This window comes from Homo sapiens, chromosome 3 (genome assembly GCF_000001405.40).
Source record: "Homo sapiens chromosome 3, GRCh38.p14 Primary Assembly".
Classification (NCBI taxonomy): Eukaryota; Metazoa; Chordata; class Mammalia; order Primates; family Hominidae; genus Homo; species Homo sapiens.
The window spans coordinates 40,814,699-40,840,094 of NC_000003.12; the positions used below are offsets into that span (position 1 = coordinate 40,814,699).

Consider the following 25,396-nt stretch of genomic DNA (forward strand, 5'->3'; position numbering starts at 1 on the left):
ACTTGAGGGTATATTTAGCTTGATGTCATCACACTGAACCGATATCAGAATCCATATAGTGTGCATTTGATAAGAACAGAACTACAAGTCAAAGTAACTCTTATGTTTGACTATATTCAGTTTTACCCCTACATAAAAGAAAAGAAAAAATATCCTAAAGGTTCCAGGGAGTTCAAAAAAGCATTACTGGCAATGAAAAATCAAGGGTAAAAATACCCTATTGTATCATGGAACAAAAAGAAAAATTTCATTGTTATTTTTTATTAAATATAGGTAATGTCTCTTTAATAACTCCAATTGTATTATCTGTTTCTTTTCAGAAGTCCTACATTTATGTATGTTAAGAATACACAATATAGCCTATAAAATTTGAATATTGATTTAAAAGGTTTTCTTAAAAAAGAGTTTAAATAAGTTGCTCTATCAGAAGACAGAAAAAAATATAGAAATGTTATATTTTATTACATATTTATTTTATTGGTCCTATGATTTTTGCTCAGTGCCACTGTTAGCTAGTCCTATTGTTGTTTTGTTTAAATAATAGCCTTTTGTTGTAGAAAAGTAAATAATACAAAATAATATCTAGTTTCACATAAATATTTATTGTTCATATTTTATATTAAAATAGTAAAACGTGTATGATTATTACATACATTATTGTTATTATTTTATTTCACATGACTGTGTTCTGAGTTGGTTCTCTATGAAGTGGATACTATCTACAAACTACACCAAATCCTGGTCATTTTAGGGGCTTGGGTGCCCCGGGGTTGTTAGTGAAACAGAGACAGGAACCCCGCCAATCTGTTCCAAGAGCCTGGAGTGTCCATCTAGAGGCTGGGACAGCAGCAGAAGTTGGTGGAAAACTCTCGTGCCCAGAAAGAGATTTCAGGGCTGTACAGTGCCTACAGGAAACAAGCCCACGTGATACTCCCTGTGACTCAGAAATATTGGGTGGCTAGGAGGACTTTGGAGAGGAACCTAAGGTCTTCTACGAATATGTATGGTCAAGTGCTGATAAAGGGGAGTTATTAATGTTAATGTAACTGTATTAGTTAGCTTGGGCTGCAATAACAAAATATTGTAGGCCAGAAGGCTTAAATGACAGAAATTCATTTTCTCACAATTCTGGAAGCTGGAAGTTCAGGATTAAGGTGCCAGAAGGGTTGGCTTCTCCTGAGGCTTCTCTCCTTGGCTTGCAAATGGCCACCTCCTCACTGTGTCCTCACATGGTTTTTCCTCTGTACACATGTGAAGAGAGAGCACTGGTGTCTCTTCTTCTTCTTATAAAGCCACAGTCCTACTGGATTAGAAGCCTATCCTTATGACTTCATTTACCTTAATTACCTCCTTACAGGCCTTATCTCCAAATTATAGTCACACTGAGTTTTAAGGCTTCAATATATAAATTCGGGGTAACGCAATTCAGTCCGTAACAATGGCCCTCATTGGCACCCATAGGCAGGCAGAGCCCATAGAGCAGAAAATAGAAATGAGATCAAAGAAGCACGGGCATCAACTGAAGAAATATCAGTGGTTACACTCTCCTGTTTAATTGTACAGACTCTATCTGAGTCTTTGAAAGATTATGCAAACCATTAATTATGATAGAGAGGATTTGAATAATAAATCAATAAAAATTATTAATAAGTATCCAAGGATCTTTGTGTTCTCTAAATAGAGAATATATGTTCTTTTTTATTGCATATAGAATACACACACACACACACACACACACACACACTATTCCACACTCTTCATAATGCCACAAGCTTTAAAGTAATAACAAAAACCTCTAAATACATGGGAATTTAAAAAATGCTATGCTTAAAAACTCTTGGGTCAAAGAGAAAATTCAAACTATAATTAGAATAATAGGAATAATTAATAACATAGCAGCATTTGTGGAATGGGCCCCAAAGCATTACCAAATGGGAAATCAGTAGCCCTAAATGCTGCCATTAATAAACAGACAGAATGAAAATAAATGAGCTCCCGATTCCATTCAATAAGCTCTAAAAAGAACATCAAATAAAGAAAAGAAATTAATGATGATAAAATGCAGACATTAATTAATTAGAAAGCAGAAAAGCAGAAGAACTGATAAATACCTTTAAAAGCTGGTTCTCTGAAAAAGGCAAAACAATAAAATAGAAAATATTCTGACCAGTTTAACAAAACAAAAGATAGAAAACACAAATCAATGAAATTGTGAATGAATAAGTGATGTAACCAAAATAGCTTGTAACAATTTGATTCTAAAACTTGTTAGAAAGGCTGTGACTCTCAATCTGCATGGAAATCTAGTTTGTTCATTTCAATTGCAGAATTATTTTCCAGCATGTGACTATATCACAGTGTACTTATCTTCTCTGTCAATGAATATTTACATTGTTTTCTGGTGCTGCAAAAAATACTACTACAATAGACATGGTTGTACATATACCTTGTGCATATGTGTAAGAGTTCTGCAAGGGCATTGATTTTCAAAATGTGGTTCTTGGACCAGTAGCATCATCTGGGAACTGGTTAGCAATGCAAATTCTTAGGCCCCACCCCAGACATACTGAATCAGAAACTCTAGGGTTAGGTCCCAGGACTCTTTTAACAGGCCCTTCAGGTGATTCTGATGCATGCTCTAGTTTGCAAAGCACAGCTCTAGAGTGTATATCTAGAAGTAGAATTGTTGATTGCAGGGTTAAGTGCAACTCAGTTTTTACAGGACATTGCCAATGACCTTCCTAAATGCTATGCCAATTTACACTTTAATAAGCAGTTAATAAGGTTTTTGTTAAGCTGTAGTCTTGCAAACACTTGGTGTTATAAGACTTAAAATGTCAAAGTGATAGGTGCAAACTAGTGCTTCATTGTTTTTGTTTGCATTTCTTCGATAACTGGTGAAGTTAAACACCTTATCCTAGGTTTTTTGATCCATTGGTTTTCTCCTATGTTCATTGCCTGCTCATATTTTTTGCCCATTTTTCTGTTGGGTTGATGATCTCTTTCTTTTTTTTTCTTTTTTTTTTTTTTTTTTTTTTGAGACAGAGTCTCACTCTGTTCCCCAGGCTGGAGTGCAGTGGCGCAATCTTGGCTCACTGCAAGCTCCACCTCCCGGGTTCACGTCATTCTCCTGCCTCTGCCTCCCGAGTAGCTGGGACTACAGGCACCCACCACCATGCCTGGCTAATTGTTTGTATCTTTTAGTAGAGATGGGGTTTCAACGTGTTAGCCAGGATGGTCTCGATCTCCTGACCTCGTGATCCACCTGCCTCGGCCTCCCAAAGTGCTGGGATTACAGGTGTGAGCCACCACACCTGGCTGATGATCTATTTCTAAATGACATGCAGAAGTTCTTTATGTATGTCAGGCATGCATATTGCAAATATCTTTTCCCACTATCTGGTTTGTCTTTTTACTTTAATTAGGGAGATTATAATTAAACAGAAGTTTGACTTTCTATGTGATAATAAAATTCATCGCTTTTTCATAATTTGTGCTTTGTGGGAGGTCTTGGTCAAGAAATCCTGTCTGAGTCCAGTGCCATAAAGAACTTCTCCATGTCTCTTATAAAACAGAGATAACCTGAGAAGTAGTGCGTAAGTGTACACTTAATGAATATGCCAGAGTTCCAGAGCCATTGCCCACTGGCCTTCCTGAGCGCTTCTCCATGAAAAAAGAACAATTATCTTCTTTTTGTAACTTTATATTTCCATCCCTCTCCTCTGTCCCCACCTTGCTTCTGTTACCTTGTCTTTCCACTTCTAGGCAGAGACTGTGAATCCCAGACACTAACTACACATGAAACATTGATGGTTGCTGATGATGGTGGTGATGAAATTTATAATGGAAATGAGGTAACCAATTCCGAGAGGTGTAACCACCAGAGAAACACCACTGGCTGTACAGAGAACAGAAAATAAACCTAATAAAATTCTACCTATAGAATTATTGTTTTCATATGATACATGATTTAGAACACAGATAACTAGGGAGGTAGAGTGTTTCACAAAAGGCTTCCTAAAACTGGCACTGGCTGTTGCTGACATTAACATGTCCTTCAGACAGAGATTTGAAAAAAAAACATTTGGGAGAAACCAAGGAAATCTATTCACCCTCATATTGATGGATCTACCCTGTTTGAGGATAGAGAGAAAAATACCAACATGTGGGTTTTTCAAAAAATTACTGAAGGAAAAGGAAATGCAATTGCATCTAGAAGATTCAAGGGACGAGCACCCTTCTGAAAATGATCTGTTATAGGACCCAGAGGGGAAAAAATCTGAGAAATTAGTTAGCATTCTGAATAGAGTGCTAAGTATGGAGTCTGATATGATTTGGATATTTGTCTCCTTCAAATCTCATGTTTAAGTGTGATTACCAATGTTGGAAGTGGGGCCTGCTGAGAGGTGACTGGGTCACGGGGGTAGATCCCTCCTGAATGCTTTAGCACCGTCCCCTTCATGAGAAGTGTGTTCTTGCTCCATTAGTTCATGCGCGATCTGGTTATTTAAAAGAGTCTGGGACCTCTCCCTTCTCTCACTTGCTCTGGCCTTGCTATGTGATGTGCCTGCTCCCACTTCACCTTTCACCATGACTGTAAGCTTCCTGACGCTCTTATCAGAAGCCAAGCAAATATTGCCGTCATGCTTGTACAGCTTGCAGAACTGTGAGCCCATTAAACCTCTTTTCCTTATAAATTACTCAGCCTAAGGTATTTCTTTATAGCACTGTAAGAATGGACTAATACAGAGTCTCTAGGAATCAATAGCATAAAGTCATAGAGAGCAGGCTAAGGTGATAAGGCAACAAAAAGAGAAGAAAAGAAAGTGAAATAAAAGAAATGAATGAGAAGGAAGTATTGCATGGAAACTAAAATCTCAGCAACAAAACCAATATCTCCACTGAAATCGGAAGTTATGTTACGTATTGTTTTATATTGTTATATACTTCCATAAAGAAGTTCGATACTTCTTTATATTGTTGGTATAGGGAAGTTATGTCAAGGGAAATATAAATAGTAACATGTTAAACTAAAGATACTCTCCCAGAATGCAAAGAAATGTACTAAAAAGTGACACTGAAGGCAAAAAATCATAAATATAGAACAATGAATACAAAGATAATTGGTTTGCTTGAAGAAGACAAGACACAATGAAACAGAAACAATACTAGTTCACCCATTTATTCAACATGTATTTATTGAGCTATCTACCATGTGCTGTGCAGTGTGCTATGTGCTGCATAGGCTGCAATGAGCGTATTAAATGTGATTACTTCCTTCAATTAAGTTTCTATCTAATTAGATAGTACAGAAGCAAATACACAAATAAATATGTACTTGCAGATTTTGGTAAGCATTAAAGAAGAATGCAGAACAATAATTAACAACATAACAGAATAAAACATTAGTGAGTTGAGGGAAGACCTCTGCATGGAGCTTGAAAGTGAGCTTTCCCTGTCAGGCAAAACCAGTAAAACAGAACTATACCAGCTAGATAAAGACAGCATCTAAATTGTCATTTTTTAATTATAAGAGAAAAAATTCATAAGGGGTCATGCAGAACAATAACAACAAAAATACCTTAACAGGACTCATCTCTTCAATGCTAAATGTCAGAAACTTCTGGATCATCTTATCTAGAGACTTTGGAAAAAGATCATGAATTTCATACCCAGTAAAGTGTCTTCCATGTGCAAAGGCACATTACTTTATCAGATAAACTCTTCAAAATATCTCTAATCCATGTATTCTTCTTGTAGAAACTGTTAGTTCAGCCAAACAAGAGGAGATGAAAAAGTAAGAGCTCAAGTATGAAACTAGTTTGAAATGAGATAAAACTAAATTATTGATGCACACAAATTAGAAAACTGAAACTTTGAGGAACCACAAGGCACCCAGTGTGGGTGAAGTGAGATGGAAAACATGGTAGGGAAGGCACAGGCTACACACGTGTACTTGGGCCAGGTCCTACAGACCTTGCAGGTCATGCACTTTTTTTTTTTTTCCTAACCTGTTCCTCTTTGAAAGAAGTATGTCTACTAAAAATACAAAATTAGCCGGGCATGGTGGCTCATGCCTGTAATCCCAGCTACTTGGGAGACTGAGGCAGGAGAATCACTTGAACCCGGGAGGCGGAGGTTGCAAGGAGCTGAGATGGCGCCATTGTATTTTTAGTAGAGATGGGGTTTCTCCATGTTTGTCAGGCTGATCTCAAACTCCCGACCTCAGGTGATCCGCCCGCCTCAGCCTCCCAGAGTGCTGGGATTACAGGTGTGAGCCACTGTGCTGGCCGATTTTTTAATTGTTTATGACTTTTGGATCAGCAATTCAATTTCTATGAATTTTATCTAAGGAAATGATCAAAACAAATGCAAAAACAAATACAAATGCATATGTGTGTGTATATATATGAATGCTGGTTGTTGCATTGTAATAAAAAAATAGGAAACACATGTCTGCTAACAAAGGATATTTAAATACATTATAATACATCTGAAAAAAAAAAGAAGTATGTCTAACTTCCTCTAAAACATATTACTCTGATAATTGAAAACAGGTCTCCGCCTCAAATTATACAAAGCTTTCCCAATTCTATAAAATAAAGGTGAATACTCCAATAGAAAATTTCTAAAAAATGAAAAGACTGGACCAAAAAGGAAGACAAAAATGTAATTAAAAATGCAAAATTAAAAAAAAAATATTTTAACATATCAAAATAAAAATAGCTGAAAAAAAGATACTCTGTAGCGTTGGCAAGGGTAGGAGGAAATATACATTGCTTATGCAATGTTTGTAGAAATGTAAATTGGAATGATTTTCCTGGAGGGCAATTTGGCAACATATGCCAAATGCCTTGCAAATACACTACTCTTTGACTCAGTAATTTCACTTCTAGAAATTTGTTCTTGTGACTTTCCTTCATAGCATTTTCCTCAGATTTTTAAAAATAAGTTTTTAATTGTATATTTGTTTGTGTGATCATATGATTAATGCCTGTTTCTGTAAAGGCAGAGGTTAGTCATTTTGCTTATTATTGTAACCTAGCATGCAGTATATTCTTGAATACATGAATTAGAATGTTTTGAGAAAATATACACATACATATTTACATATTATTGGAAAATTTTCAATGAACTGGGGCATACTAGAGCTGTCTTCTACCAAGTATCCTGAATCTTGATTGTGGTTATGGTTACACATATTTATACATGTGTTAAAGTTTATTAAGCTGTCGATTATAGGGTATATAATTTTAAAAAAATAATAAAAAAGGAAAAATGTAATATATACTCAAAATTAATTACTTATTATGTTTTACTATTTCTATGCTTTTGAGGTGATTTATGTGAACTTAGGGTAAACATGCTGCATGATTGTGTGCTATGGCATTTTTATTTCCAACACTTTGTTCACTGACTTCATATGGTAACTTAAAATTGACCACGTGGGAGTATTTACACTGCAGAAAGTGACAAATGCTAACAACTTAAGGCTTTTCTCTTTGGAGAGCCAGTTGTTAAATATTTATCAGCTCTCCCTTCTTATGGAGCCGGGCTTTGTAAGCAAATGTACCATGAGCATTTGGAACTTGGAGAGGAGATAAGAGGGTGGGTGGGCATAGAGCCTCCATCTGCTTATTTTTCTGGGATCCTAAATGTATACAAGAATAGAGGAACTCTCTGCAGAAATGTGAAGGAGGTATAACATTTTCCATTTTTAGGCAAAGTTATTAAACTATGTCTGAAACACAGGGATCATTGTGATGGAAGCTACCTGTTAGGAGAGGGAGCAAGACCCCTGTAGTGAATATTGTTGGAACACCCATATCCAGCTGCTGAGAGTATTGGGCTGCTAATGGCTCACAGTTACCCCCTTCTTCAGAGAATTGCCCTTGACTGACCAGAAGCTGCCTTGCCTGGAAGGTTATGCTTCCTACTCCTCCTCTGGGGACAGTCCATAGCCAATGACTAGCTTGCGTGAGGTATAAAAGGCTGGATCCTTGAACCTCTAGGGGGACAACTCTGTGGTGCAATTGACTCATGCTGAGACCACATCCTTGCTTAGCTCCTTCTCCTCCCCTGCCCTGCTTCCCTTATTCCCTTCTCCTGAGAATCATCTTTAATAAATTAATTTATCATAAATCCCCAATTTCAAGCTCTGTTTGTATGTATCCTGGCCTCAGATAGAACAAAGAATGATTTCAATAGGAGAGTATGTGAAGACTTGACCAAGAACAGAGGCATGTGTTGGCTTCCAGGCCTGTCCTAGTCCTGTCCCAACAGTCATTCTGTTCACAAGTGATGCTCTCAAAAAGTGGACATGTGGATGAAACTAAGATCAGGCACTTTCAATCATGAAATGCCCTTATCTATACAACACACTGAGGTGGGAGCATCCTCACCACCACTCTAGGACCCATGCAACTTGGGCAGAGACTAGGAAATGCAGGATCAGCAGGATTGCTATCTCCGTAGATTCCCTGGGTCCAGTAAGCAGTGATTATAAGCCTCAAGATTTGTAAAGACTAGAGGAGACAGGATCCAGAGACACTCAAAATGGCGGCCAAGTTGGGATCTTGTCTCTGGCCACTGTTATGTTAGGCTGTTAACAAGAAGTGGATGAGGCTCCTGGCTTCATCAAGAATAGAAGAGACAATGATGGGAAGACGTTGCAATAGTATTTATGGTTGCACATGAATGGCTGACTTCTGACTTCCTGGGGACCCAGTGGAGTTTCTGTTTCATTGCTGAAGAGTTAAAGGCAGCAAGAATGAAGAAAGAGCCCCTAGGAAGTTTTGCATTATTCATTCAACAAATACTATTGAGCTAACCACTTGTCAAGCACTGTTCTACATTATCTTAGATTATGCTCGCTGGAAACAAGCTGTGTGGCAGAAGTTAGCCTGCAGGAGGTTTACTGGGGAGTAATTTCAGAATAACATCAGTAGGGGAGTTAGGGAAGGAGGATATTATAGGCCCCAGCCAATTCCACAGAAAGCTCTGGATTTGGAATGACCCTTTGGAGTTGTTCCAAGTTATGGTGAGGGGGCTGGGCCTTTAGATACCCCCAAACCTACAGATCATTGGATGTGGGCTACCTCTGGAGAAGATGTAACTTTGGCAGAGTAGCTCCCTTGGTTGAAGGCTCTTCTGAGAGAAGGATTCATATGTGAGCCAGCACTCGGAGCAGGTTGGGTAATAAGTACCTTGGTCCTGAGCATGTGATCTGGAGAGTGAACCATGCCATCCATTAGTGATACTAGGATGCAACAGTGATAAAAAGAGATAAACTCTTGCTTTATGGAGATTACATTCTAATGGAGACAGATAATAAATAAATGAGATTCTCACGAAAATGCTATCACAGTGATCGTTTCTGGTTGGGTAAGTTCACAGGGGATTTTAATTTTTCCTATTCTTACTTGTGTGCATTTCCTAAGTAGCCAATAAGAAGTATGTATTACTTGGATAATTAAAACATAAACATTATTTTAAAAATCTTCTAGAAGATGGGCCAGGCGCAGTGGCTTACACCTGTAATCCCAGCACTTTGGGAGGCCAAGGTGGGCGGATCACCTGAGGTTGGGAGTTTGAGACCAGCCTGACCAACATGGAGAAACCCCATCTCTACTAAAAATACAATATTAACCAGGCATGGTGGCTCATGCCTGTAATCCCAGCTACTCAGAAGGCTGAGGCAGGAGAATCACTTGAACCAGGGAGGCGGAGGTTGCAGTGAGCCGAGATCGAGCCATTTGCACTCCAGCCTGGGCAACAAGAGCGAAACTCCATCAAAAAAAAAAAAATCTTCTAGAAGAATGTATGGGTAACAATAGCCAAGATTAATTTTGATTATATAGACTCATCAGAGGCATTTGTCCTATCAGCTGTTTAAATAATAAGATGTAAGTCTGTACGAACAGATCAATGGAACCAAACAAAAATTTGAGAAAGGAACCATGCTTGACATAACAATTTGGTCTGTGATCCAAGTGGCATCATAGTAAGGTGTTTAAGGGAATGGACTGTTGGGAATCAGAGTGTGTGTTACTGGCTGTGTCCTTGCTCAACCTTTCTGAGGCTCAGTCCCCAGATCTGCACAGTGTTGTGAGGTTTAAAGCAAATGATGTATGCTAATGTGTGTAAAAAGATTTAGCACAATTCCAGGCATGTAGCAAGTACTGATAAGTGGTAGTGGAGATGATTATTAATAAAATCATTAATATTCACTCTAGATATGTTAAAAATTTTACGTAAAAAAAGAGGAAGTACATTCCAGGAGAATTAAATAATTAAATGTAAAAAACTATCACTACATTCCAAATGAGTTTAATAATTTTTTAAAACCCGTGCATTAACATTTAAATGTACCCAAATCAAAAGTCTTAAAATTGTAGCTTTAAATGCAATTCAAGCAAAAAAAATTTTTTTTGAGAAATGGAATTTGGGCGTTATTAGAAGTCTCCTCACGATGGCTGGACTTTTCCCTTGCAGAATCAATTTGCTTCCCTCCACTCTGATAGAAGTAGGAACTATGCTTCTTGTTTGGAAATTCCTTCTAAGTATCTATTTAGAATTCTGCTGTTGCAGCCCACCATTTTCTCTCCACTCTCTGCCTTGTATTTTACATCATCCAAAGCTCTACTAATAGGAGCCATCTCCAGAGACATTATCTGACCTCCTCTACCTGAGATCTAATAACTCTGAGAGTTTTCAGATGTTTAAAGTGTCAGGCACACCATTATCCAAGGAAATATTTTACCTAGCCATTTACCAAGTTTCACAAAATCATTTTCCCAAACACTGACAGTGCTTTGTGAAGGATAAATAAGTATAGAAAATTGCGAGGATGAACCAAACATCCAGTGATTTTGTAGATGGATCATTGCCAGAGCCTCGAACTTGTTTATCTTATTAAAGATAAATTAGTTAGAAATGAACAAAATGGTTTTGACAAAATAACTGTATTTGGCATATGTTTACTCTGACCTTCAAAACCACTCCAAGTGTTTCACATTTTAATATTCTGCTTTTTCACTAGCTCTTCATGCACAAGTAACATTAAAAATAATTTTGTATGTTACTATTATTTTATTTATTGATTGTTCATCACTTTTAAATTATGATACTTGTATATTATAGAGAATTAGGAAAATAGAGAAAAGTAAAAAGCGATGGAAAGTCACTATTAATCTCATGAAACAGATATAACCATAACTAACATTTTAAGATATTTCTTTCATGTTATTTTTCAGGTATATACAGAGATATAGCAAAATTGGGATTATACAGCATAAGAAGTTTTATCTCCTTTTAAAAATTAAAGATTATGTAGTAAATTTATTTTCACATCTTTAAATGATATTCAGAAACCTTATTTTTAGAGATTATCAAGTGTATGTTTATGTTGAATCACTATAATTTACCTAAGTGATTTCTTCTTTTTGGACATACAGGTTATTTTCAATGTTCGCTATTATATGTAACTTCTTTGTATATATCTGTCAATAAATCTATTTTTGGATTTTTTTATTTTGTCAAGCTAAATTTCCAGAAATGTAATTACTAGTCATATGGCATGAACATTTTAAAGATTTTTCACATGTTAATTTAGCCTCTCTGTATCTCAGTTTCCATATTGTAAAATGGGATAATATTAATGCAAACCTTACATGACTGTTGAGAGGATCTAGTGAGATAATTTATTGTCAGTTTTTAGCAAATTATAAGGTAGTATACAGTTTATTATCATTAGTCATTCCATTCCATCCCATTCTAATCCATGCCAGTTGGTTCCCAGGCAGGCTAATTAGCTGCATCCTATTGCAAGCTTGCTGAACGCAAAGGCAGACTATTAATAAATTCCTGGGTAGCCAGTGGCTGCTGGGACCTGATACTAGCATTTTATTCCATTGCAAACTCACCAGTGCTTTTTGTTCCATTTCCCTACCTGTAGTTATATGCTTTGTATGTAACATATAACTACATGGGATATGCATGGGCTAAAACAGAGCAATATGAGGAGTGGTAAAAAACTTGCCCATTTTTTGCCATTCTATACCTAAAGGTTCAGCCTAGCTCCAAGAAGTTTGATCCCAAAGCTTCACTGTTTTGTGGAATCATGAAGAGCAACTAATAAATACAGTGTTTTATTTTTTAATGGAAAAAAGTAACTTCCTGAATGTGTTCCTAGAATTCATATTTATAGTCATAGATACAAACACACACACACACACACTCCACACACACGCATTATATGCATCATTACCAGGTTCAACATCCAATTTTAGGGAAATCATCAGGGACAAGGCCAGCACATCCAGGTTCATTCCAGGCGGCAGCCTGAGTCTGCACTAGGGAGATGAGTAAACGAACCCAAGAAAGCACTAGCTGAGTCCCTCTGAAGGCCCAGAGCTCTCTGACCATAAACTGTCAAAGGGATAATGAGCTTCAAGTCACAAAGTGAAGCAAAATGGAAGAAAAATTCAGGCCAGTTAAATAAAGTTGAAGTGACTGGTTTGCTGAGGGACAGCAATGGCTCACAAGGAGAATCTCATTTCATCGTTAATTTGCATATGGTGAAGATTGATTTTCTACGGCTAATCCAAATTTATGACACATCAGGTGATATTTAAAGGACTCAATGGAGCATTTAATAGCCAAACATTTTTCCTGATTAGTACCCACTTGACCTGGTGGCCCAGAGATGAATGCTGATTACCCTGTCCCCCTCCTCCTTCCAAGTGGCTCTAAGCAGAATAGCTGCCAATCAGGCAGCAGAAAAACACAGCCAGACTGTAGTCAGAACATCCTGACACTTAGAAGTTAGGAACTCTCGAAGTGTGGAAGGGAGTTGGTGGAGGGGAACTGATGGGTTTGTCTCTTTTCAAAAATTACACCTGTCAGGGACTTTATAGCTTTCACATCCCAGCCTCATTTATGCAGAATACACTTATAGGGCAGTCATTAGATGTTATCATTTTTCTGATAAATAATCTCAACAATCTTGATAGATAAGGATTCTTAATCCCAATTAGCAAATCAGAAGCCTGAGTCTCAGAGAAGTTAAGTAATCTATTTGTCCAATCACCTAGCTAATGAGTGGTGGGGCCAGGATTGAAACTCGGTTCAGGATGACTCCAAAGCTTAGACGCTTTCCAGTTCTGCATTGCTCATTGAAGACTCCTGGGTCACTGCTTCGGTTGGTGTTGGATCTGAGCAGAAACTATCAGGAGTCTAGGTCAAGGCATGGGGGTGAGAGTAGGCAGAGCCAGGCCAGAAGTCCCTGCATAAATCTAGACACCAGATATCAGAAAATTTTGATCACGGCTTTTATTTCTTTGCAACAGTCGTCCTCAGGTTCTGAAGAGAACTCACCGGTTGTAGAGTCTGTGTTAATCACCCAGCATTAATATTTCCATTGCTCCATCATCATGTGTAAGCCTGTCAACAGCGTTCTTCTCCAGAAGTAAACTTGCTCAACCTTTAGTTTCACATCAGTGAAGGTGGATTCTTTCACCAAGATGGACTTGTTTGTTCTCAGGAAATCCATACAGCCCTCGATGAAGAGTTCAGAAACTCTTTTTATGCATTAAAAGCACCTACACAATTTGATGGTTTAATACAACAAGTTTTTCCTCATAATTCTGTGGGTCAGCAGTTTGGGCTGGGATCAGCTGGGCTGTTCCTCTGTTGGTTTTCCTGAGGACACTCGTGACTGCTGTCATCAGGCAGTTCCACTGGGGCTGAGTGATCCAACATGACTCACTTACATGCCTGGCTATGGGTGACAGCTCTTCTCCGGACCTTACTCCCCACAAGCTTTCTCATCCTCCAGCCAGCTGGACTGGACTTTTCCACACAGTGTTCTCAGGGTCTCAAGAGAGCGAGAGCAGAAGCTGCCAGGCCACTTGAGGTCCAGACTTGGAACTAACACCATCACTTCTACTGCAATTTATTGTTCAAAGCAGGACATTAAGCACCCCTATTCAAGGGGGTAGAGAAATAGACTCTACCTCTTGATGGGGGAAGCAAAGGCACCTGAAAACAGAAGTGGGAGAAATCTGTGACCGTTTTTTGCAGTCTTTCACAAGGAGAAAATAATCTTACCTGGACAAAGAAGAGGCTTCACCCCAGTGTTCTTTCAACTTTAACATGAACATGAATCACCTTAGGAACTTGTTACAATGCAGGTTCTGATTCAGTTGGTCTGGTGTGGGACTGAAGGTATTTCTAACAAGCTCTCAGGTGATGCTGATGCAGCTGGTTCACAGAGTACAGTTGGTGAACCAAGGTTCTAATCACTGACATGGGGTAAGTCCATTCCCTTTTCTCTACTAAGTGGGGCGAGTGCTGGCCTGCCCAATAATGTACTGGTTCTTCCAAGGGTAGAGAGCCACCCAGCCTATGCCTATAATTTAAGATATGCTGCCAGTGAACTCAGTTAATGCAGTATGTACATTATAGGTCTACTTTAAGAACCACAGTGGCCTGACACGGATCACATACCTGCTGGAATTACTTGATTCTCTGTTAGCTCTGTGTCTGTGTTTTCCAGTGTGGTTTTGTGACCACACTGGGAAAGATCCACAAATGTCAATATTAAAATGTTCACTTTGACTTTAAAAAATGCCATCATTGCTTTCTATAGGATTTTAAAATTAGATTTTAAATAGTTTCACATTTCAAGCATTATTATAACAGATTGCTTAGGCCAGATGGATGGTTCTCTGAGGTCTTTACCAGAACTGGTAAAGCTTGTCTAATGGTATTCAATCACAACTCTCTCACATTTTAATTCCTCTTTCATCAGAGGCTGTGTGTACCATCATGTCAGGAAGGGGCCCAAGCTTGGGGACAGATACTCAGATAACAGAAACCTGGGTTAAAATTTTTAAAGCCTGGGGCTCTGGTCACTAGAAACACAGAGTATCTTTCTCTTTCTGATATGAACTGATGATGCAGTTTGTAATACAGCTAAGGTGAATGTCCTGAGTGTGTGTCTGTTTCTGGCTGATGTGGGAGCAATAAGGCATTTATACACAAGATTGGCCAATAATTATAGCTGTTCATTTGTTTTTGTTTTTTTTTTGATGTCACCAAGCCATTCTATTTTTGTCCTCCCAAATCTGATCACCTGGGGGAAATTGAGGCAATGCATGTAGTTCTTCTTCCGATAGTATGGTGCTGCAAATTTGAAAAAAATGATAAGAAACACAGACATAGATGATGGGCCACAAACATAGTTATCTTTCTCTCTGAATGAAAACAAATAAAAATCAGGGATCAGGTCAACACCAAGAGACACTTGTTTGTTTTTAACGGTTGCCCAGTTTCCTTTCAAAATGGAGGATTGAAGTATGATACAGTTAGATAAGGAGAAAAAAAAGGTCTAGTTATAAATTAATAGAATGCTAGCATTCCAAAGAACCACAGGAATCAATGAATACAAGCCTCTTACTTTACAAATAGGAAAACTGGGGCCCAGACAGGTGACATGACTTTCATGAAGCCATGAAGCTTGCCCCTGGTCGTCCAAATTCACTCTATTGACTCCAACAAATCATGAAGGAGATTTTACACTCTGAAGTTGCTGTCATGCTATTGGTCCTGCTTCTATGATTTCTTGCACCTTTACTAGAAACTTCTGGTCTTGTATTTGAGATTTTCCAAATCATTTGTTCAAAATCATGAGTCTGATAAAAACCCTGTTTTCTCCTTATGGCCTGTTCCATTCTTCCCTGGAAGTTTCTCATTTCACACTATCACATTTTTATTAAAGTCATGCTGACAAATGAGGGAAATAAAACCCTTCTGAGGGTTGCTTTCCACCAAACTTTCTCTCTCTTCTGTGCTTTATTAAAATAGAAAGGACAAGAAAAATCTCATATTATACTACTCTGCAGGCTTTCTGGAATTATACATTAAATTGGCTGCTTCTGTGAGGGTCCATCAGGGTTCGTGGGGGAGGAAGGGGAAGAAATTTTGTGTACAATCCTGGACACTTTTTATGTACAAGACCATTTAATCCTCATAACAACTTTCCTCTATTTTACTGGGAAAAAGAATTGAAGCTCAGAGTAGTTAAATAGCTTGCCCAAGATTACACTATTAGTAGGGAGAAGAAGTTGGTTTGGAACCCAGATCTCCAAACTCTTTAGTCTTTGTTCTATACCAATGGTTCTCAAATGTTTGTCCAGGTTGTATTAGAATCATTGTGGAAATTTTCAAATATAAATTCTCAGGATTCACTTTCTGGCATGATCTTATAAATTTGAGTTGGGATCCAAAAATTCTATTATATATCTTTGTTTCTATTTTATTTTCTACTTCTATATCTGCATGTATCTCTGTCAGTTAGTACTTGATACATAATCACTTGTCCTCAGAAGTTTAATATACACCTTTATTTAGCTCATGATTCTGTGACTAGGGAGTTGGAGCTGTCCTCAGCTGGGTGGCTCTTCTGCTGGTCTTGCTGGGCTCACACATCCATGGTTGGCTGCCAGGTTACTGGGGACTGGCTGGTCTATGATGGCCTCAGCTGAAACAGTTGATATCTGCTCCATTTGGTCTCTCACCCTCTAGCAGGTTAGCCCAGGCTTTTTTACATGGTAGCGGTAATGAGGGGTCCCAGCAGCAAAAGAGGGCAAGTTCCAATACATAAGCAATTTTCAAGCATCTACTTGTACCACATTTGCTATTGTCCCACTGACCATAGCAAGTCAAGTGACCAAGCCTGGAGACAACGTGAGGATACCACACAAGGGCAGGGATACAGGGAAGACAATTATTATGACCATTTTTGCAACCAATATATGTCTCTAGGTAAATATAGATATTTGCTGAACATGCATGGAGATAAAAGTTGGAACAGTACTTAAGGGTATGGAAATATGTGTGCACTTCATCTAGCCCCCTTCCTCATAATCCTACTCTCCAAAGGATCGTACTTTTAACTATGTTTTTAGCTAGTGGTGTATAACTTTTTTACTGTTACTCAACAATTTGAGAAAATATTATAGTTATATGAGTAAACTTAACTTACAGAGTCAAATTCTTCAATAAAGTTTGTTACAAACAACAGAAGCTTCCTTCTGATTTTGTTCCCCTCAGAGGCAAGTACTTTCAATTCTTCTGGCTGATTCTTTTGGTAGTTACCTCCATATTACTAAGAATTCTTTTTTCTGTTTTCGCTTCTCAACTTTTCAGTATCTATTGTTTTTTTTCAGAAGATGAGAGCCCAGACCTCTTTTACCTCACCTCTGCCCTCATCAAACCACACACCCTTTGCACCCCATCCCTGTCAGTGAAGCTGTCTTAGAACTTTCTCTACTACCAGCCTGGGATTCAGCTGTCCCAGGTCAGTTGAGAGTTAGTCCCAAACCATTTGCTTCCCAACTTCCAAAATTTTTCTGATGTTATACTTTACTCTTTCCTTTTGTTCCTATGGGTTTTTTTTTTGTCTTTTAAAAAGCCCCTTTACTGTTGTTTTGTTGGGATTTCAAGACAGAGTAAAAATATACCCATGTGCTCCATCTATCATCTTGATATGGAAGTCCTATAGTATTTTTTCTTGATTTGTCAACATCAAGAAATATCCCATTGATGCTCTCCTTTGAAAAGCAAGCATTTTAGGTCATTTATACTATCGCTGTCACCCTCTTTTGTTCCTTTTGATTTGGATTAGTTATATTTTTATTTTTATTTTATTTATTTGGGTCAGATCCTAGGCAGTAGGGACACAGCAATTAAAAAAAATAGTCAAAGTCCCTGCATTCTCAGAGCTTACATGCTAGTAGGGCAAACAGAGTCTCAATTATATATACATACATATACATGTAGTTATTACAAACATAAAAGTATAATGTATAAAATTATAAAATATATATATAATTTCTGGGCCTTCTACATCTGAAGTCTTGTGTCTTTCTCTAGCTCTGGAAAATGTCTTCTATTGTTTTTAAGATATTTTCTCCCCTATATTTTCTGTTTTCTCTTTCTAGACTTTTACTTGATGGATGTTCCCCCTCCTGGTTAGACCTTTCTCCCAGTTCCAGCCCTGCCATGAATTGCTTTCTCATCCCCCTTCTCTCTCCTCTGCTCCATCCCTCTCTTGCTTAACATCCCAGGAAATTTTAAATTATAGCCCCTGCATTCAATGTTTAATGTAGTGATCATATTTTTAATTTTCCTAATTGTATTTGTGAACTTTTGTAAACTATTTCTTATTCTCTTATTGCTCCTTTATATGGCCGTGTGCCCTTGTTTAAATGGATGCAGTAGCCACTCAACTTTTTCTGGGAGGCAATTAGATTTCTTTGAGGTTTTCTTCTTCTCCAAAAGTTATTTCTGCTTTCCTGGGGTCACTTGTTCTATTTGATCTTATCAGCCCATCTCCTTTGTTTCACTTGTTTGCTTCAACAGCTAGTGAATCTTGGTAATCCTGTCATATTTATGAAGGAATAACTATAGCAATTACCATGAGTAAGTGGCTGGAGTTTTCTCTACTGTTTTATTATTTTATTTTATTTTATTTTATTTTATTTTATTTTATTTTATTTTATTTTATGAGGCAGGGTCTCACTCTGTGGCCCAGGCATGGTGCAGTGGCTTGATCACAGCTCACTGCAGCCTCAACCTCCCAGCCTCAAGCAATCCTTTTGCATCAGCCTCCCGAGCAGCTGGGAACTACAGGCACATGCCACCACGCCTATCTAATTTTTGTGTAGATATGGGGTCTCTCCTTGTAGTCCAGGCTGGTCTTGAACTCCTGGGCTCAAGTGATCCACCTGCCTCACCCTCCCAAAGTGCTGGGAATACAGGCATGAGCCACCACACCTGGCCTTTCTCTACCTTTTTAAATGTTCATTTTTATCACAGGCTGCCTATGAGTGGACCAGATGGATAAAGCAGAGACCTTCATTTTAAGGGGTCCAGCAGATCAGGTGACCACTTAATGTCCCCTGAAATGTCAAGAAAAAAAGAGTCCAGCCCAAAGGTTCAGCCTCTCCATCAGATGTCCAGGTAGGCATGTTGTTCATTGATTTTGAATCCTTCTCCTAGGACCGAACTTTGACACGACATATGCTCAGAGCAAGGGTCATCTGAGGGAGGGATCCCTTGTAGCTGGCTTGACTATGGAAGTCATGGAGAAGGTAGTGTTTAAGCCAGGAATCCCTAGGCCAGGATGTATCAATTAGGAATCTTAGGTTACATACAACAGAAAACATCACTCAAAAATTTATTGACTCAAGTAACAGAAGCCTTGAGTTAGGACGGCCTTCAGGGTTGATAGATCCAGTGGCTTAGCAATCTCACTAAGGAATTTCCTCTCTTCTATTCTCACTCCCTTGCACAGTGCTGACTTTGTTCTAAGGCTGGTTGGTTGATGGTTGACAGCAGCAGGTGGTGCCTTTGTTTCCCCTTTTGTGTCCAGTGGGTGAGAGGCAATGCTTTTGCCCCAGTGTTCCAAGCAAGAGACCTTAATTCCCAACGACAGGATGGCTTACATCACATGTCCACTCCTGGACCAATGACTAGATTCAAAGGGTATAACGTTCCGATTGTTCCGAGTCAACCAGGGTCTGCCCCTGGTGCTGAATGGGGTGGAGTCAGCTTCCTGGAGTGGGAGGGTGGATAACTAAACAAGACTGTGGACACTGATAGGGTGGAGAGTGGCTGCGCGAGAGGCAACCAGCAATATCTACTGCAGCAGAAAATCACAGTTTAGACAAGCCATCAGTAGGAAGAGAGGGCTGAGACTGAGCAGTCTAGTCTGAGTTTGGGGGCTGCTGAATATCCCAGTGTGACTACATAAAAAGTAGAGTAGCATCTTTGTGCCTCTCTTTACCTGGTGTATGAGTTTCCTCTCTAGGTCTTTAATTTGCTTTCCACAACTCTTCAGATTAGAGACCTTCATGTTTGAGTCAGTATCCCAATAACTCCACTGGACAGATTCAGGAGATCTGTCAATCTCATGCAATTAAATGCAAAGCTGGATGTATTTGCACATTTTTCTGGGACACAACAGAAGGCTGGCACGCTATTGCCTCCTTGCTGATCAGCCTACCCTGATTCCTGCCCACCTGTATCCTGGACACAAACACATACCTCTTTCTGCTTCTACCAATTTCCATGGGGTTGACCTAGTATATACTTGATCCTTTCACGTTCGTTGACTTTAAACCAATGAGGAAAGGACAGATGGTTGATAAATGGAGTTGGGTTATCTAGCTAAATATTTAGAAAAGATAAGCCTTGCAATTTCTACACAAAAATAGATTCCATATGGTGTAAGAGAATAAATGTAAAAAGTTTTACCAAGAACATACTAGAAGACATTATACTTGAATAACAATATAATTTTTAAAGTATGAAAGGAATTCCTTAACATAAGCTCAAGGGCAGTTATCTTAAAAGAAAATTATGTAGGGATTAAAAACCTCTGAACATCAAAAAGAAGCATAAACGATTAAAAAGCAAATAAACTAAAAAAATATGAAACGTGTGTGGCCAAGGATTAATATAATTAATCTATAAAAACATCCTTATAAGTCAGTAACAAAAGATGAATTCTCCAAAAGAAACATGGGCTACAGACATGAACAGTTAGTTTACAAAAGATGAGTTACAAAGTACTAATAAAAACAAATAAAAATGTAAAAACCTTCCATCTTACAACAGAAGTAAGAAAATAAAAACAATGAGATTTTTCTTTAAAATTATAACAGTCAATAAAAGAAAGCTATAAGGAAATGAACCAGGGTATAGTCTACTGATGGAGTTTAAATTAGCACCACATTTTTTAGACTGCCATGGTAGTTTTTAGCTTGTAAAACTATAAAGTATCAAAAACCTTAAAAATGTGTGTTTTTTGATTTAGCAATTCCACGTTTGGAAATTTAGTGTAATAAAATAGTCACATAGACAAAAATGTAGGTTCAAGGATATTTATTATAATGCTTTTTGTTTAGTGAAAAATGGGAACATTCCACTGTTTACTAAAAGCATGTTGATTGAAGAAATTATGGCCCACTTTTACAATGAAATGCTGCGACTATTACAAATAATTTTAAAGAAATATGTCCAAAGACATGGAAATATGCTGAAATACATTATTGAGTGAAGAATGGGAGTCATGAAATAGAAGTACCATGATCCTTCTCTTACAGTATGTATTTATATACAGAGATACACAGAAAATTATCTTCTGAGCAACACTGTCCAACAGAAATATAATGCAAACCACAAATATATTTTTATGTTTCCTAGTAGCCACATTAAAAAGATAAAAAGAAACTAATATAACAAATAATATGTTTTATTTAACCTAATATATTAACAATATTTTAATTTCAACATGTAATCAATCCTAAAATTATTAATGAGATATTTCATATCCTTTTTCCATATTAAGTCTTTAAAATCTGATGTGCATTTTCCTCTTACAACATATCTAAATTCAGACTAGCCACATTTCAAGTGCTTAATAGCCATGTGGGACTAGTGGTTATTAATTTGGAGAGTGCAGATCTAGAATTATATTCACCAAGCTGTTAACAGCAGTTGGAATAATTAGTGTCCTTTTTTGTTTTTTTCTGTTATTTGTATTTTCTGGAATAATCATGAACTACATTTTTAATAGGAAAAAATGAGCAAAGAAACTTTTCTATTTGCTGAAAAGAGGGAGTAAAAATAATAATTTTAATGTCAGACCAAGCAGAAGCAGAAAAGAGAATCCACTGCATTGATTACATACTCCCAAAGAGTGGAACAGAGCTCCTGAGATCTCCACAGGTAAACCCCCAGTATAGTACACCCCATGAGGGTGCTTAGTTATTTCAGGGAAACTGGAATTTTGTTCAAGCAAAATTACTGATTTTAAAAATGGCTATCACCTAAACTTTGGAAATGAGAGTAATTCTACAGACGTGTGGTGAGAAAAACATTTGAAACCTTTCTCCATGTGGATGGTAATCTTAAATGAAGAATTGGAAGAATCCTGCAATACACTTGTCCATTAAGCCAGATTGGTGGGTGGAATTATTCCAGAAGAGATAACATAAAAATAGAATCATTATTTAATTACAATTCAATTATTCAGATCTCTTCACATCATGTATACTTTAAATGAAGAGCTAGAAACAGCTTATTCTAGTCATTAGGATACACATGTAACACAGGTAGTGATTCCCCTCCAGCTGTAAGCCTGTGAAATCCAGCAAGGGACCCACATGAAGCAAAGTAGGTAAGCTGAGGAACTAATAGCATTCTTGCAAATAAGCTTGTTTTTCCAATTTTGGGTCTGCCAATTAGTTTTCTTTAACTATCCCAAGGGTTAAAGATAAATAAGCTGTAAATTCCGTATTTTATTTGCTGGTGCCTCCACAAGGTCTAGCAGAGGACCTAGTATATGACAAAAGCTTGTTACTAATTTACTTAATAGCACTATTTAGTGACTATCTATTGCATGTCAGACCCTGTTATGCTTGGAATACATCAGGGAACAAACAAGACAAAAATCCCTCATGGAGCTTCCATTCTAGTGAGGTGAAATAGATACTAAACAATATACATGATAAATAAGTAAATTACATAATATATTATAAAGTGATAAATGCCATGAAAAAAATAGAGGTGACTACACACTCATGTTCATTGTAACATTATTCACAACAGCTAAGAGATGAAAGCAACCTAAGTGTTCACTGATGGATAAATGGATAAACAATATGTGAGTAGATAGATATGTAGATAGACAGACACATATTTATGTACAATGTGTCTCAGTCTGTTCCTGCTGCTATAACAAAATTCCTTAGACTGGGTTATTTATAAACAACAAATTTAGTGCTCTTAGGTCTGGAGGCTGAGAATTTCAAGATCAAGCTGCCAATACATTCAGTGCCTAGCGAAGGTTTGCTCTCTGCTTCAAAGGGGGTGGCTTTCAGCTATGTCCTCACATGGCGGAAGGGGCAAACACTGTGTTCTCATATGGTGGAAGGGCAGACAGCTCCCTTCAACCTCTTTTATAAGGGTATTAATCCTATCCATGAGGGCAGGGCCATTATGAGAATCATTTTCCAAAAGCCTCCACTTCTTAATACTATCATATTGGATATTAGATTTCAACATATACATTTTGGGGGAAATACCAACAAGCAGATGAAAGCATTCTGGCCCCCTGAGTTTAGTCCTTCTCACATGCAAAATACATTTATTCCATTCCAATAACCCCAAAAGTCTTTGCTTCAACATCAATGCAAAAGTCTAAAGTCCACAGTCTCATTCAAATATCATCTAAATCACATAAGACTCAAAGGTGTGATTTATCCTGAGGCAAATTCCACTCCAACTATGAGTCCGTGAAATCTAACAAGTTATGTGCTTCTAAACTACAATGGTGGGGTAGACATAGGGCAGGCTTTTCCATCCTAAAAAGGAGAAACAGGAAAGAATGGAGGCCTAACAGGTCCCAACCAAATTTAAAACTCAACAGGGCAAACATTAAATCTCAATGTTCCATAATAATCTTCTTTGACTCCATGTCCCGCTTTCTGGACACACAGGTGGGGTTTGGTCTCCCAAGGCTCTGGGTGGCCCTGCTGCTATGGGTTCCTGGGTGTGGCAGCTCTCACAGATTGGAGTTTTGTACCTGCAGTTCTTCCAGGCTGGGGTTGCACAATGGGGGCTCTATAGTTCTGGGGTATTGGGAATAGCCCTGACCCCCATGGCTTCACCAGGCATTGCCTTAGTGGGGACTTTCTGAGGTGGTCCCACCCTCAGGGTTCCACTGGGTATTGCCCTAGTTGGGGCTCATTATAGTGGTTCCACCCTTGCTGTGGTTCTCTTCCTGGGCCTTGAGGCTCTTTGGGGCATCCTTCCAAATCTAGGTGAGGGTAGCCATCCCTTGACAGCTCATCCACCCCTGCACCCTGGTGGAGATGGAACCTCATAGATGCTGCCAAGGTTTACCACCTGTGCTTTCTGGAAGGGCTGGACAAGCTGCACCTACTTGAGTCACAAGTGGAGTGGCCAAGGAGTGCTGCACTGTAGTCAGGGGAGTGGAGCCTCGAAATCATTCTGCTCTCAAGGCCCAGATATTCTGGGCCTGTGATGGGTAGGGCACCCTCAAAGATCTCCAAAATGACTTTGAGGTCATTCTTGCATTGTCATAAAGAATAGCACTAGGCTTCTGCCCACCCATATTAATCTCTTTATCAAATGGTCACTTGGCCATGCCCTTGGTGGTATCTCCCAAACATGCCTTTCCATTCTTTACAATATGGCCAGGCTGAGAATTTTCAAAAATCTTTAAGTTTTGCTTCTCTTTTGATTATTAATTCCATCTTTAATTTTTTTTGTTTCTTCTTCCATTTTACTATAAGTAGTCAAGAGCAGCCATGCCACACCCCCAACACTTTTCTAAGAGATTTCTTCCACCAACTATTCTATTTCTGCACTCACAAGCTCTGCCTTCCACAAAACACTAGGACATAAATACAATTTAGCCAAGTGATCACTGATCCTTTATAACAAGGATCACTTTTCCTCCAGTTTTTAATAATATGTTTCAATTTCTGTCTGAGACTTCATGAGAACGGTTTTTATCATCCCTATTTCTACCAATATTCTAATCATGATCTCTTAGGTAATCTCTAAGAAGATTGAGGCATTCTCTATGGCTCTCTTCTTTTTTTGAGCCCTCACACTAATCACCCTTATGCTCTGTTCACAGCAACGTGGCTTTTTTCAGCATGCACCGCCAAACTCTCAGTCTCTACCCATTACCCAGTTCCAAAGCCATTTCTACATTTTCACATTTTTAGCTGTTTGTTATAATAGCACCCCACTTCTCAGTACCAATTTCTGTCTTAGTTCAGGCTACTATAACAAAATACTTTAGATTGAGTAATTTACAAACAACATAGACTTATTGCTCACAATTCTGGAGGCTGGAAATTCCACAATCAAGGTGCCAGAAGATTCAGTGTCTGGTAAGGTTTCACTCTGCTTCATAGATCTGGCCTTCTGACTGTGTCCTCACATGGCCTAAGGGCAAGTCAGCTCCCTTCAACCTCTCTTATTTATAAGGACACAAATCCCATTCATGAGGGTGGAGCCTTCATGGTTTAATCACTTCTCCAAAGGACCCATCTCTTAATACTCTCACACTGGATACTAGGTTTCAACATATGCATTTCGGGGGGACACCAACATTCAGACCATAGTACAGTGGGATATTATTCAGCCTTAAAAAGGAAGGAAATTCTGACACACACTACAACATGGAGAAACCTTGAGAAAAATATACTAAGTGGAATAAGCCAGACACAAAAGAATGAGTACTATATGATTCCACTCATAAAATACCTGGAGTAGTCAAATTCATAGA

The 25,396-nt window shown here is 38.3% G+C and overlaps 1 long non-coding RNA gene across 3 annotated transcripts in view; it reads left to right on the forward strand.

The window, feature by feature from the left end:
• The window catches only part of LOC105377043 (uncharacterized), a 191,504-nt gene that overhangs the window by 94,840 nt on the left and 71,268 nt on the right, over window positions 1–25,396 (forward strand). The window contains exon 3 of one of the 3 annotated variants that reach the window (XR_007095884.1): window positions 13,350–16,113. The exons of the other annotated variants lie outside the window; for them this stretch is intronic. This is a non-coding gene — a long non-coding RNA (uncharacterized LOC105377043). Of the gene's footprint in view, window positions 1–13,349; window positions 16,114–25,396 lie in introns of those variants that run through there. 3 annotated transcript variants of the gene reach the window in all.